Raw genomic sequence first — 13,068 nt, 5'->3', positions numbered from 1 at the left:
AGGGGTTATCAAACTAAGCCCCATAAGCTGAATCCAGCCTGCCACCTGTTTTTAAATAGCCTATAAGCTAAGAATGGCTTCCCCATTTTCAAATGGTTGAAATAAAATGAAAAGAAGAACAATATTTCATGACCCATGAAAATTACATGAAATCTACATTTCAATGCCCACAGATAAAGTTTTATCGGAACACAGCCATGTCCATTCATTCCCATATAGTCTACGGCTGCTTTTGCACTGCAACAGCAGAGTTCAACGCATGTGACAGAGACCATGGGGTTCACAAAGCCAGCAATATTCACTTTCCAGCCCTTCACAGAAAGAGTTTGCCAGTCTCTCTGCTCTCCAGTCTTGGTGAGAAGATACGACAAGAAGTTGGCCATCTGCAACCAGTAAGAAGACCTTCACCAGAACCTGACCGTGCTGGTACCTGACCTCAGCCTTCCAGCCTCCAGAGCTGGGAGAGATACCTTTCTGTTGTTTATAAGCCAAAAAAATACAGAAAGAAAAAGAAAAAGTTTGCCAACCCCTAATCTAAGTGATAAAAGGTGAACTATATATATATATAGTTTATATATATATAATTCCTTTCATAGAATACTCCCATAAAAATTATGCATGTTATGTAATATATATTAATTTTTATGTATGTAAATTAATAGAAGAGATGTCAGAGGCTGCACCCTAAACTGTTAACAATGTTTCCCTACGAAAGAGGAGCAGAGCTGGAGAGTGGTAGATAGGAGATGTTTTATTATTTATGCCTATATTTGTTTCATTCGGATACTGAATATATATATTTATGTTCTTGTTATTTGTGGTAGCAATATTCTATAAAATCAGCACAAGCACTGGAATAGCAAATACTGAACCATTGCTTCCAGGGGAAATACAAGGTAGGCCCCTGTGAGTCTCTGGTCACAACGTTTTGTCAACGGATCAATACATAACCTTGTTTCAGTGTGTTTCTGTTTAAAGACGTCTTACTTTCTGTAAGACACATCACAGCCTTCTCTGGCGCAGGAACACAGACAGCTCATCAGTGCTATGTTTAGGGGCCATTTTAAACAGTGAAGTCACCAACGAAAAGCACAAAAATGTGAAAAATGTGGCACTAAATAGACCACAGAAAGAACTCTTATTTACAGTTTGAGAGCTGGAACAGAAAGCAGAGCTTCACCTTGTTTGTCCCCAGCTGGAAATGCACCCACCGGTTAGGTGACTCAAATGTTTCGCTACTCTGCCCATGTCCGAGAATGACTGCAAAAGCACCACATGTGCTGATTTGGGGGTTACAAATACATTTTTGTGAGTAGCCAAATTTGCAAGTACAGAATTATCAAATAATGAGGATCAACTGTACATTTATGCATGTGAGACATATATATATATATACACACACACAGTTTCTATACTTAATAAAAATATGTATAATGTTTGCCCTTGACCATGCACGGAGCTGCCTCCAAAGTTGTCTTTTGGGCAGCATGCAGAGGGTCTCTAACCAATGCCTCTGACAGGCAGACATGGTCGAAATGTTCATTTTTACATGAGTGAGTCAACTTTTCAACAGGACCTCCATAGGGCAGAGACAGCAGCAAAGCAGAGAACATGTTAAGCCTTCCTCACACAGCGTCCTATCATCCAATGGCTGACTTCTTGGGTGTCTATGAACACTTTCTGCAAAGCCACATGGCCATCTGTGAGGCACGAAAATGCTGGCAACACACACAGGCCAGCCAGAGGCATATGATGAAGAGCTTGCCTCTCCTCACTACGGCGTCCTTTTCTTCATTTATACCACTCATTAATTCACACCATTCATTCGCGCAGCCAATGCATTCATTCTCCTCCCGCATTCTCTCCATCAATCCTTAACCAGGGCAGGTTTGAGAGGCACGGTGGCTTCTCTGCTTTGTTCTTCCCTTCCCTGGCACCACAGCCTTCCAAGGCTGAGTTGGAGCCATGACCATTATTTGAACAGCTTGATGGGAATTAGTTCCTGAATGGATACCCGACTGGCCACGTCACAGGAGTCCGCTGGCATGGAGTGAGCAATTTGAGTGGGATCCTGGCCAGTGGATGGTATGAACCCCCAACTCTCCACTCCCCTTCCCAACCTTCTCCCAGAGCTGCCAGCCCCACCCAGGGGCCAGGCATGGCTGGACGGGAAAGAGCACCAGACAGGGTGGGGTGAAGGGAGCCTGCAAGGCTGCCGGAGAGAGGGTTTTGTGCTCCAGGCAATATTGTTTCCAGGTTGAAATGCCACTTTTAGCTCTTCTTCTAAAATGAAAAATATAAATTCAGCACCACACATAGCACCAAATTATGCACATTCATCTATACTGTCTAACAGGTTTTTAATATCTTAGGCTTACCTCCACCTAGCTTCTCAAGAGTGCTGTGAGTTGAATGGCATCTTCCTACCACCCCCACCCTCCTATGGAGCTTATAGAATAGGTAAAAGGGACAGAGGAAAGATCAGAACCGCTCATCAGGTACAGTTGGAACTGAGCTCAAGGCAATAAAACAGGAAAAGAGACACACCCAGACCCACATTAAATTAACTCTCATCCTGATCTGAAGGCATCAGAAGAATACTCAGACCATGGAGGTAAGGATGTGGGTCCGTTCCTCCCAGCAAGCTGGACCCGCCCCGGCCCCCGCCCGAGCTTGGGGCTCATACAAAGCTCTGTTGCCATCTTGTGGTCAGCAGGGGTGAGCTTCTGAGCTCTGGCAACTTCAGGCTTTTCTCAGCGGGCTCCTGAGGGCTCTGGGGAACACAGCCCTTCCCTAGGCTGCTAGACATGTCTCCTGGGAGGCTGGGCCCTGTGTAGCTGCAGCAGAGTCTTCTCTGGGCCCCTGTCCCTCTGTCAAACTTCAGGTTTGTCCTGGCCTCACCATCCAACCCCCTATGATCCCTTCCAGCTCTTACATGCTATGTATGTAGTCACTATTTTGTTTAAGGCACTGTAGGGGACCAGGAGCAGCTTCTCCCCGCAGGGCACTGGGCATGGAATGTGCTCTGAACGGGCCTGAGTGGGGAGGAACCCCATGGCCCTTCCTCAGGGCATTTCCCAGTTCCTCCATCTTAGTGAGCAAGAGGGCCCGCAGAGGAAAATGGCTTTTTGTGCCTTGCCTCCATTACATTAAGACAGAATACAGCCTTTCCACATGTGGCCAGAGGGCCCAGGCACAGAAGGCCTGGAAGAGGGGAGAGAAAGAGAGAGAGAGAGAGAGAGGGAGGGAGGGAGGGAGGGAGAGAGAGAGAGAGGGAGGGAGGGAGGGAGAGAGAAAGAGATGCATGTGCTGCATGTGTGTTTCTGGGCTTGCATGTTTCTCTGTCTTTTTCCATACTAGAAGAGACAGGCTGCAGACAAGACCTGTAGAAGGAGGGAGGGGGACAGAGGAGCTCCTGGGCTGCCGGCCTCAGAGGAAGCTGAAGTGCTGCCTTATCTTCGTGAAAAGTGAGGCCAGGCCTTGGGAAATGATCAGTTCCGCTTCCCAAGGGCTCCCTCCGGACTGAAATCGGCAGCCTCAAGGCCGAGGTTTCAGCTCCAGGTGAAACTTGCATTGTCTGTGACAGCAGAGTACAGAAACCCACCGTGTCTCCCCAGCACCCCAGCAGACCCTGTTCCTTCTAGAATACCCCTGCTCACCCACCCCTCTGGTCTGCCCCTGGCCTGGAGGACAGGCTCCAACCCCATCCTCTCCCTTCCTGTCTCAGGCTCCAGCCAGGCAGGCTTCACCCCTCTGACTGTCCCTGACCAGCTGCCCCAGGGCTCCTGGAGAGACCTGGCACACAAGCTCAGGTGGGCTTCGATATGTGCTCCCTTTCAGATCTAGGAAGCCCAGCCCCAATGTGTCAAGCGGGGCAGTGATTGATAACCCCGGGAAAATTTGTTTTTCTTATTTTCCAGAGGAAATGTTGCCAAGACCAACCTAGAACAGGGTGAGATGGGAGGAGAGGGAGAGGGTACCAAGGGGCTGGAGTTGTCATCATTCCTCTCTGGGGGAAAACAAGCCCAATCTGGCTAGCCTAGCTGGTCTCTAGGAGCACTGAAAATAGTACATGAAATTTCTCCTTGTGAAGGATAAGGCAGGATTGCTATGTCCATTTTACAGAGGAGAAAACTGAGGCACGAGATATTTATAGGCATATATTTTATACATACATATATATGTCTATTTTGCCTTGCTACCGTTCCATCATCTTCCATGATCCCCAACAGCTCTGAGAGGCAGAAAGGCCAGGCTGACAGTGTCTCAGCCCACAAAAGAGGCTCTGCTACAACAGGGCTCCCTTGTTTCTGGCTGGAAAAGCTGTTAGTTGCTTGACTGCTTTCATTTCCAACCCACCTTCCCCCACTTTCCTAGCAGAGTCCAGTCTGGGCCTGGGCCTGACCCTCCTATGTGACACCTGTGCCTCGTGGGAATCCAATCCCAGCAGTTAGAGTCACTCAAACCTCCTTGCTTGGGTGGGGTTCAGAACTCTGGGCAAGCCAAGGGCAGAAGATGTTAGCCTAGTGGCTCCAATTGTCCAGTTCGTGGCTTCAGTTGACCCATTCAGACCAAAAGGAAAATGTTTTCCTCTCTTTCTCCCTGGACGTGACCAAAGAAGCAACTGCCTGAGTTGCTGCCAGCAGCTATCTTGCAGCCATGAGGGAAGTCAGCCTAAGGACAAAGAACTAGAAGGGGGCAGAGCAGACAAGGTCACAGGAAAACAGAATTGGCACCCTGATCAAACCCTACCTGAAGCCCTAACTCTGGGCTACTTTGAGATGATCTAATGCACTCCTTACGATTTTAGTCAGTTAGTATTGACTTTTCTCTTTCTTGTATCTAAAAGCATCCTAATGGGCACATTTGGATGGATGCACCTTTCCCCACTTCTGCTGTAAGAATTCCCTTTGCCTTCCTCCAGCCCCTGTCAGAGCCAAGTCAGCACACATTAAACGGGCCAGGGCAGACTAAATGTGTCCTCTGGACAATGCAAATGTCTCTTGTGGTATCTTAAGACTTTAAAAACTGTACAGGGAGCTGTGGCTTAGCTCAGTCCTGCTTCCCATTAGGATAAACACACCCCTCAGTGTAGGGACCCACGTACAGCTCCAGAAATAGCCTGCCCACCAGAGAAAATGCACTTTATTTGACAGGCTTCCCACAGCCATGTCATTATCATATAATCTCTTTTATCCACCCCTTTTCCCTGCCTGGAACTCAAATTGCATCTTTAAAATGTCTAAGTAGCAGTTTGGTGATCTTCAGCGATGCTATACTTGATTCTGAGCTGGGAAAATCAGCGTCAAAGGAGAAGTCTGGGTGAGGGGCGAGAGGAGCGTTTTACATCCAATTATTTTTCTTTGAAGAAAGAAGAGTTGAAAATACATCACAATGTACATTTCAATGTCCACGGTTCCGCTTTCATCCTTGAAATCCGCCCTCACAGACCTGGCCTGAGCACCTACTGGGCGCAATGTTTTGCCCTTAGCACTAGGTGGTGATTCTTACTTCTGGCTTCCTTCTCACAGGGCTGGCACAGCCCTGCAGGAGCGTAGATCCCCCGGGGCTCCAGGGGAAATCAGGCAAGAGGCAAAGAGGCAGACCCAGGAAAAGAGTGAAGGAATCTGAAAAAGCTACCTGCTAAGGGGCAGCATCAGAACCACTGGGGAGGGGGAGGGGGAGCGGCTCAGGGCGGTCAAAGACAGTGTCAGAGTGAAACAAGGAAAGAGCTCTAGAGGAAGCAGGAAGTACACCACACACACACACACACACACGCCACACACACGGGCACACACATGCACACATACACACATGCACATGCGCACACACGGGCACACACGTGCACACATGCATATGGACACGCACGCATGCGCACGCACACACGTGCACACACACACACGGGGATGTTGAGGGCTGAAGACTTCTGGGTTCACTGTGTGGGAGGCTGGTGAGCTCCACTTAGCCAAGGCTAACTCTCGGAGCAAAACTGGGAAGCAGGCGGGGTTTGTCTCCTGTGCCCGGCCCACCACCTCCTGCTTCATGCCCTGCTTGGGTGGAGCCTCCCCGCAAGGGGAGTTCTTCCTCTTTCCAGTACTGAAGACCTGCTCTAGGTCCCTCCTGGGCTGAGTGACAAGCCCCAGCTCCACGTGCTGAGGGGAGGATCGGAGAGGCAGCCTGGGAGTGGGGCACTGGGGTGGCTTTCTAAAAGGAAACAAAGCCTTGCTTGTGCCAAGTCCATTTCCAACAGCACACAGGAGGCCTTGGTGGGAGGCCAGAGCACGGGCCCTCTCCTCCCCTGAGCACCCGCCCGTACCAGCCTCTGTGCTCACACTGCCTCCTTGCAGCCTCACAAGGACTGCACATCAAGGAGGTCATTGGCCCCGATTTAAAGATGAGAAAACTCAGGCTGAGAGAGGTCAGCAGGATTCTAGTTCAGGCCTTTCTCTCCCTCAAGGCCTGCTTTGTTCCTCTACCTGCCCTGCTTGCCTGCTGAGGTGAGGTGGAGTGGACTCTGACCTCACGCAAGCTTTGCCTTCCTTACCGCCTCTTAAACCAACCCGAAGAAGCAAATAACAACGTAAATCTCACAATAGGCGAAATTACGCAGAGGTGGGTATTTGCAGGCCTAAAAATCAACCTTTTCTCTTCCTGCAAGTTGCTCCTGACCAATGCTGGGCAGCATTGGCCATCCCAGGAGAAAAGGCAATATAGAACTTTCTGGAAACCCACTAAATTCCTGAGTTCACAGGGGATTGTTGGAGTACCCCAAACCACACTTCATCTCCTGTCATTGTTTCTCTTCTAAGGTGGCAACTACTGTTTCCTCGTGCCTGCTATCAGACCCACTGTGTTTCTCCTCATCTCATCAGAGCCTCCTTGTTATTTCCTTCCCAGAATCCCTACCCTCCACACACCCACACCCACCCACATGCACACACATGAACACACAAGCACACTGACACACACACAGCACATGCATGCACATACTAGCATGCTCATACACATGCACATACTTGAGCACTCATGCACACACATGCATACACAAGCACACTCACACACCCACATGCACACACATGCACACAAAGCAGACTCACACACCCACATGCACACACATGCACACACAAGCACACACACCCACATGCACACACCAGCACACACATGCACACTCACCCACATGCACACATACAAGCACGCTCACTCACCCACAAACACACGCACACACACAGAGCAATCAGTTCCTTTCAAAACCAAAATATATGAACTTATATAATCATATTTTCTTCTACAATTCTGAAGTCTTAAGAAAAAGGTCATTATGCCTACACTTTTGGTTGAGGAAAATTTCAATCATCAAAATAAAGTAACAGAGAAGCAGAGCAGATCTGTTTCTAATGAAGAAAGTTTGGGGAAAGGCAGCTTGCACAGGCACGTGTGTGTCCTGGGTGGTTTACACTGGTGTGCGTGCAGCGGCGGGCTGTTCCTCCCACCCAAGTGTGTGTCCTCGTGCAGGTTGGTGTGTCTGAGCTTGTGTGCCGGGGGACCCAGCAGCACTGAAGCCCCTTGTCCAGTCAGAATCTGGCAGCAGAAAATCTGCATTTAATTGCAAATGTTGTAAAAATAATCACACAGAAGACCAAGCTAGCATTGAAACTATGCGTCCTTGACTTAGTGCCTGAGTGTGGGACATCTTTCTACTGAAATGCTTATAAAGCTGCAAGCCATAAGTCAAAATTTCTTCAAGAACATGTCTTCTCTCGTTAGGATGATTTTACTTCTCAGGGTGTTCCCAGCCTTTTCTGGGAAAAGGAGATGGGGGAAGGGCACGGAGATGGGGGATTTATAGGGTGAGGGCATGGGATGGGAGGCCTCCTTAGATCTGTCTTAAAGATGTCTTTGTTTTTAATTATCCATGTCTTGAACTACAGTGAAATCGGCCTCACTCTTGCGTTTTAAACTCAGATAAAATGCTCTGCGTTGCAGCCTTCTCTCTACCTCCCAGACAGTGGCCTCTCCCCCATTTGAAGATTATTTATTGCTTCTCAACCACCTTTCATCCTGCTAAATGATTCTCCATGCTTGGTGCACAAAACAGCCCAGAGGGATTTTATTTCTCTGAGTGCTGGGCTCTGTCCTCTTACCTCTTCCCAGGGAACACTTTGGGCTCAAAAACCCGCATTGCATTCACTGTCCCAGGCCTGCTCTGTGTCGTTGGCTTCTCCCGACAAAGGCCCAGAGAGTCCCCTGGTCATAGGGCTGCCTCTGGGCCTGCATGACTATACTTTCAAAAGGGGGGAAAATAAACTGCTTTTAGAAGCTTGCTGAGAAGGAGCTCAGCCTGCAATACCTCCCTTCCCAACTCCCCACCCTCCAGGGCATCCAGTAGGTGGTCACCCTTGTGGACTTTAAAATGCAGATTTAGCCTAAGTGGGCTGATGCCAACCTCTCTTGGCTCCCCACCCAGGTCCAAAATAAATTCACACCTCCTCATTTCTGTCCTATTAATCAGTCCCTCCCAGGGAAAAACAAGCCAGTCAATGCTGGCCAGGTGGATGGAACCACAGAATACATGTTTTTAGATATTTTAAAATTAATTTATTTCCTGCTCATATTTTTAATTTTGCTTCCGTTACCAGAACGCAACTGCGCTGTACCTCTTGTTAAGGAAAACTGTAAATTCTAAAGTTAGACTTTCTTTTTCCCCTCAGGAACTGAAGGTTCTATTTGCGGACTCCATGGCCCTACCCCTGAGGCTGGGATCTGGGGAGAGAGGTGACCCCACCCCCCGCCAGCCCCCTCCTCCTTCAGGTTCTCATTTGCAGCTCCACACCACCCCCACTCTGGACTTTCTCTCTCATTTCCTGTCCCACTCCTGGCCCAGCTAGGCTGTGCCTGGGGGGCCCTGCCGGCTCTCCCTGGCCTTGGGGGTGGAGGCGGTGCCTGGGCACCTGGTGTCAGCCTTGCTCTCAGCTGTGCCACTCCCTTGCTGTCCCTTCCAGCCCTAGCCGTCTCCTTCTGCTCCTGAGCCTCTGTAAAAGACAAAAATTCTGAAAGAGTAGGTCAAAAATGTTTCAAAGAAACTTTAAAATGCCCTCATAACATAATTAGAACATAAAAATAGCAAATACTCACTAGAGCTTACCAAGGGCCAGACACAGTCCTAAGTGTTTTCCAGACATTCATTCATTTCATACGCACAGCGGTCTTGTGAGGTGGACACTATGATGATTCCATTTTGCAAGGGGACTGAGGCACAGAGACTGAAACTTGCCTGATGGCTCCCAACTAGAAAGAGGGAGAACTGGGATTTGAACGCAGGCAGCTCTGAACAATGACACCATTCTACCTTGCTGGTAGAAAAGTAGATTTTATCATTTTTACTAGTGCAGTCATATCTCACTTATCAAGAAGTCCATGAATTGATAATCTCAACTATTCAGACCTCGATCAAGAACCGAAAACACAAGTAAAAGGATCCTTTGAGAGAGTAAAGTATAAGAGGCGTCAAAAAAATTCATATCCAAAGGCTCCTGAGGAAAACCTCTCCAGCCTTCCCACAAGATTCTGAGACTGATTAACTCTTCCTGAGAACGTACAGTTCTAACACACTTGGTGAGTGGTCTCCCTGCCACACCCTCTTAGAAACAACAAACTAGAAAGAAATTCATGCCAATCTTTTCATATCAATCTTAAAGAAATGCGTAAGTTAAACCACGGGACCATGACCAGCCATATTTGCAGCCAATATAGATGTTGTTGGTGATGAATTGAAAATTAGCATGGGGAAGTGCTTATGTTATCATTATAACTAAAAAGAAGCAGGGTGCAAAATTATATCTATGGTGTAACTTCAACATGTGCAATAAACAAACAACACTCAAAACTGAAAAATGAGATAAAATGGAAATATATCAAAACGTAGTTTTCTCAAGGTGTCATAGGTGATTTTGTTTTCTTTCTGTTTTTTTGTTTTCTTTTTTTCAAATTTTCTGTAATGAGCATTTTATAGAGAAAAGTTCCCAATAAACTTTAAAAAGAGAAATAAGGAAAGAGGAAGAGAGAAAGAAGAAAAAGGAGGAAGGGAGGGAGAAAGGAAGGGAGGGTCACTAAGTCAGGTGCAAGCCAGCCATGCAACTGGTGACAAGGGAGAGGAAGAGAAACTATTTAATTCATGCCCAAGAAATCGAAATGCCTAACAGTCCAGGGGCCATTTCCTGGAAAGGCAAATTGCTCTTCATAAATCAATCTTCTCTGAATATATCACCATGTAATCAACTGACAATTAAAATAATAATCGCTATTAACTAAGCATGTCCTTCTTTCCAGGCTAGCCCTTTGTTTACATAATCACACGGACCTTGTGAGGGAGATATGCTTTTCCTCAGTTTACCCATGAAAACCTGAGGCAGGACAATTGATACTCGTTAGGATGAAGATTTGACTCTGTTCATGATACCCAGCTGAGAGGGCTGAGAAGCAAGAAACAAAAAGTATCTATTCCCATCTAAAATGGTGAAAATGGGCCAGGTGCGGTGGCTCATGCGTGTAATCCCAGCACTGTGGGAGGCCAAAGCAGGCGAATCACTTGAGGTCAGGAGTTCAAGACCGGCCTGGACAGCATGGTGAAACCCTGACTATACTAAAAATACAAAAATTAGCTTGACGTGGTGGCACATGCCTGTAAATCTCAGCTACTCGGGAGGCTGAGGCATGACAATCACTTGAACCCAGGAGGCAGAGGTTGCAGTGAGTTGAGATCATGACACTGCACTCCAGCCTGGGTGACAGAGTGAGACTTTGTCTCAAAAATAAATAAATAAAATTGTTCAAATGATTAAAACTATTTTATTATTTAAAGGGTAAAATTCAGGTGTGTGGAAAAACTACTTAGCTAGCACACCTTATAGGGGTAGGCGGTGAATAAGTGAGGAAAGTCCATGTTAATTAAGTTCCTTAGAACCTCAGCAGACACACCCCACGGGGATCCTGAGGGGCTGGGATGGCCTCTGCCTTACCCTGCTGGCTGGATAGGCCCTGCCTGCAGGCACCTTAAAGAGGTACATTCCCTTCTGGAGCCTAAAGCCTTAGAAGTGTGGATATGGTCTAATACTGTCCTCTTTTGTCCCCTTCCTTCCCTCTAAGGAAAAAAGGAGGGAAGGAAGGGGAGAGAAGGTTCTGTGACCCCATGGGCCCACCATGCTACTACACAGCCTGGTTGCTGAGGGAGCCCCAGGCAGGCAGCCAAGGCCTCCATTGAAGTATGTACGTTCTCCAGGAGGGCTGGATGCTCTCATGTTTGTTCTTGAGCAATGACCAGGGAGTGGAACGTGGGAGAGATACAGTTCAATGAATGAAAGAGCCTTTGAATCCTTTCCTTAGAGGCACAGTTAATTTAAAATAAAGTTGTTGTGTTCACAGCATCATAACATTTAAGCTCTGAAAGTCACCTTCACCATCACCTAGTTTCTCGTCCAATTTCCTTTGTTTGTTTGTTTACACATAAGGAAACTGAGTCCCAGAGAGGGGAACTGATTTACCCAGGGTCACGTTGCAAGTCTGTGGCTAAGCCTGAACCACTTGTCACTTTCCTAAATTCTTGCTGGATCAAGCTCATTTTGACAGTGAACCTACAACCATACAGCGTAGAATGATGCTCAGTGTGTCTTCCAGAGACTGCTTGATGCTGCTGCCAGGGAGAGAACACACTGTGTTCCTCTCAGATCATTTATTGAAAATTCTTTATGATGTGGATTCCCAGGCCACATTTCCCTGCCCCTTCCACCTGGGAAGGGTTGAGATAGCATTTACGAAATGACCACCCTGCAAAACCCAAACCACAGCAGATCTCAACCCTAGGCTAAACCTAATCTGTACCCAACCCCAAATACCAAACTTTTCACTGAACCACAAAAGGAACTGAAGTCTTTCAGAAAAATTGATAGTGAAGAATTATGAACCAGAACCAAATGGATATGCATTCAACACAGCTGAAGCAGAACAGGATCCAGCAGATCACAACGTTGTCTGACCCCGGGAAGGCTGAGCTCTTGGCTATTAGTGATGTGGATAGAGAGGAGTGGGGTGAAGAAGCACCTCCCCTGGAAGAAAGAAAGTAGAAGATAGTGGTTAACTACTCCCAGATGTGCACCTCCCATTCCATCCTCCACAGCTGGGTGGAGGACTGGGATCCCTAGAGGGTCAGAGACACCAAAGATTCCTTCATAACAAAGGTAAGGACTGAAGACAGGCAGAATGTCAATGTCTTCTTGTTTCATGTAAATGAATGAACTGTGCTTTGTGTTATAGAAGTGATACAATTGGAAGCCCATATTTGAAGAAAAGAACACGAACTGGCTTCTTATCAGAGGTGCAGCGTTTTAGGAATCTAGCAGCTAAGTTACATTCAGGTGAAGGCAAACACCAGCAGACAGATATTCGTGCACTTGTGTCAACTGTCGGGATGGGTACCTTGGGAATACCAATATGTCCTTTAAGAACAAAATTTAACTCACCTGTTATTTTCCAACTCAAATATCCTTCCTTCCACTGAACCTGCCTGATTATTTCACACCCTCCATGGTAGAAATAATGTCCTCCTCTGAACTGGGACAAAAAAAATATAGCCATATGTCTGCTATAATATTGAATCATTTCTACTTTTCATTATGGTTTTTGCTGCCTGTGAGCAGTTTGGGGAAAGGTCTCCTATCTGACTTTTCCGTGACATCCTGGTCCCCCACAAAGCACCCGGCATGTGACAGTCACACAAGAAATGTTTACTGGATGAGCAAATGAATTTCTCAGGTTGTTGTCTCTGAAGTGGAAACTTTAGCCTCCGTGGGTGGTCTCAAGTGGAGACGCAAACCTGCCACAATCACACGCAAGCTTCTGAGGACACTCCATGCACAGGTGCTATTTGGGGAGGAGTCCACAGATTGTATTAGATTTCCAGAGGGATCCAGTTCCCCAAAAGATTAAGAACCACAGCTCTGGAACTGGGGAGACAGTCCAGATGAGGCAGTCTCTGTGACAGCTTTGGACTTGCGCCCCCAGGAGTGCCTGGTGGTG

The 13,068-nt window shown here is 47.3% G+C and overlaps 7 annotated features.

Annotated features, from left to right (window-relative positions):
- Positions 1,652-2,271: an enhancer, noted in NCBI's record as "H3K4me1 hESC enhancer chr6:44598773-44599392 (GRCh37/hg19 assembly coordinates)". NCBI's record gives its function as "activates a minimal SCP1, AML or CMV promoter by ChIP-STARR-seq in naive H9 embryonic stem cells {active_cell/tissue: H9 hESC(naive)}" and the evidence as "EXISTENCE:reporter gene assay evidence [ECO:0000049][PMID:30033119]".
- Positions 2,894-3,514: an enhancer, noted in NCBI's record as "H3K27ac-H3K4me1 hESC enhancer chr6:44597530-44598150 (GRCh37/hg19 assembly coordinates)". NCBI's record gives its function as "activates a minimal SCP1, AML or CMV promoter by ChIP-STARR-seq in naive H9 embryonic stem cells {active_cell/tissue: H9 hESC(naive)}" and the evidence as "EXISTENCE:reporter gene assay evidence [ECO:0000049][PMID:30033119]".
- Positions 5,368-5,875: an enhancer, noted in NCBI's record as "H3K27ac-H3K4me1 hESC enhancer chr6:44595169-44595676 (GRCh37/hg19 assembly coordinates)". NCBI's record gives its function as "activates a minimal SCP1, AML or CMV promoter by ChIP-STARR-seq in naive and primed H9 embryonic stem cells {active_cell/tissue: H9 hESC(naive and primed)}" and the evidence as "EXISTENCE:reporter gene assay evidence [ECO:0000049][PMID:30033119]".
- Positions 5,876-6,383: an enhancer, noted in NCBI's record as "H3K27ac-H3K4me1 hESC enhancer chr6:44594661-44595168 (GRCh37/hg19 assembly coordinates)". NCBI's record gives its function as "activates a minimal SCP1, AML or CMV promoter by ChIP-STARR-seq in naive H9 embryonic stem cells {active_cell/tissue: H9 hESC(naive)}" and the evidence as "EXISTENCE:reporter gene assay evidence [ECO:0000049][PMID:30033119]".
- Positions 7,909-8,417: an enhancer, noted in NCBI's record as "H3K27ac-H3K4me1 hESC enhancer chr6:44592627-44593135 (GRCh37/hg19 assembly coordinates)". NCBI's record gives its function as "activates a minimal SCP1, AML or CMV promoter by ChIP-STARR-seq in naive H9 embryonic stem cells {active_cell/tissue: H9 hESC(naive)}" and the evidence as "EXISTENCE:reporter gene assay evidence [ECO:0000049][PMID:30033119]".
- Positions 8,418-8,925: an enhancer, noted in NCBI's record as "H3K27ac-H3K4me1 hESC enhancer chr6:44592119-44592626 (GRCh37/hg19 assembly coordinates)". NCBI's record gives its function as "activates a minimal SCP1, AML or CMV promoter by ChIP-STARR-seq in naive H9 embryonic stem cells {active_cell/tissue: H9 hESC(naive)}" and the evidence as "EXISTENCE:reporter gene assay evidence [ECO:0000049][PMID:30033119]".
- Positions 11,916-12,500: an enhancer, noted in NCBI's record as "OCT4-NANOG hESC enhancer chr6:44588544-44589128 (GRCh37/hg19 assembly coordinates)". NCBI's record gives its function as "activates a minimal SCP1, AML or CMV promoter by ChIP-STARR-seq in primed H9 embryonic stem cells {active_cell/tissue: H9 hESC(primed)}" and the evidence as "EXISTENCE:reporter gene assay evidence [ECO:0000049][PMID:30033119]".

The sequence above is a fragment of the Homo sapiens genome, chromosome 6 (genome assembly GCF_000001405.40).
Source record: "Homo sapiens chromosome 6, GRCh38.p14 Primary Assembly".
NCBI classification, from domain to species: Eukaryota; Metazoa; Chordata; class Mammalia; order Primates; family Hominidae; genus Homo; species Homo sapiens.
The sequence above is the reverse complement of the archived record's forward strand: the minus strand, read 5'-3'. Positions and strand labels throughout refer to the sequence as shown.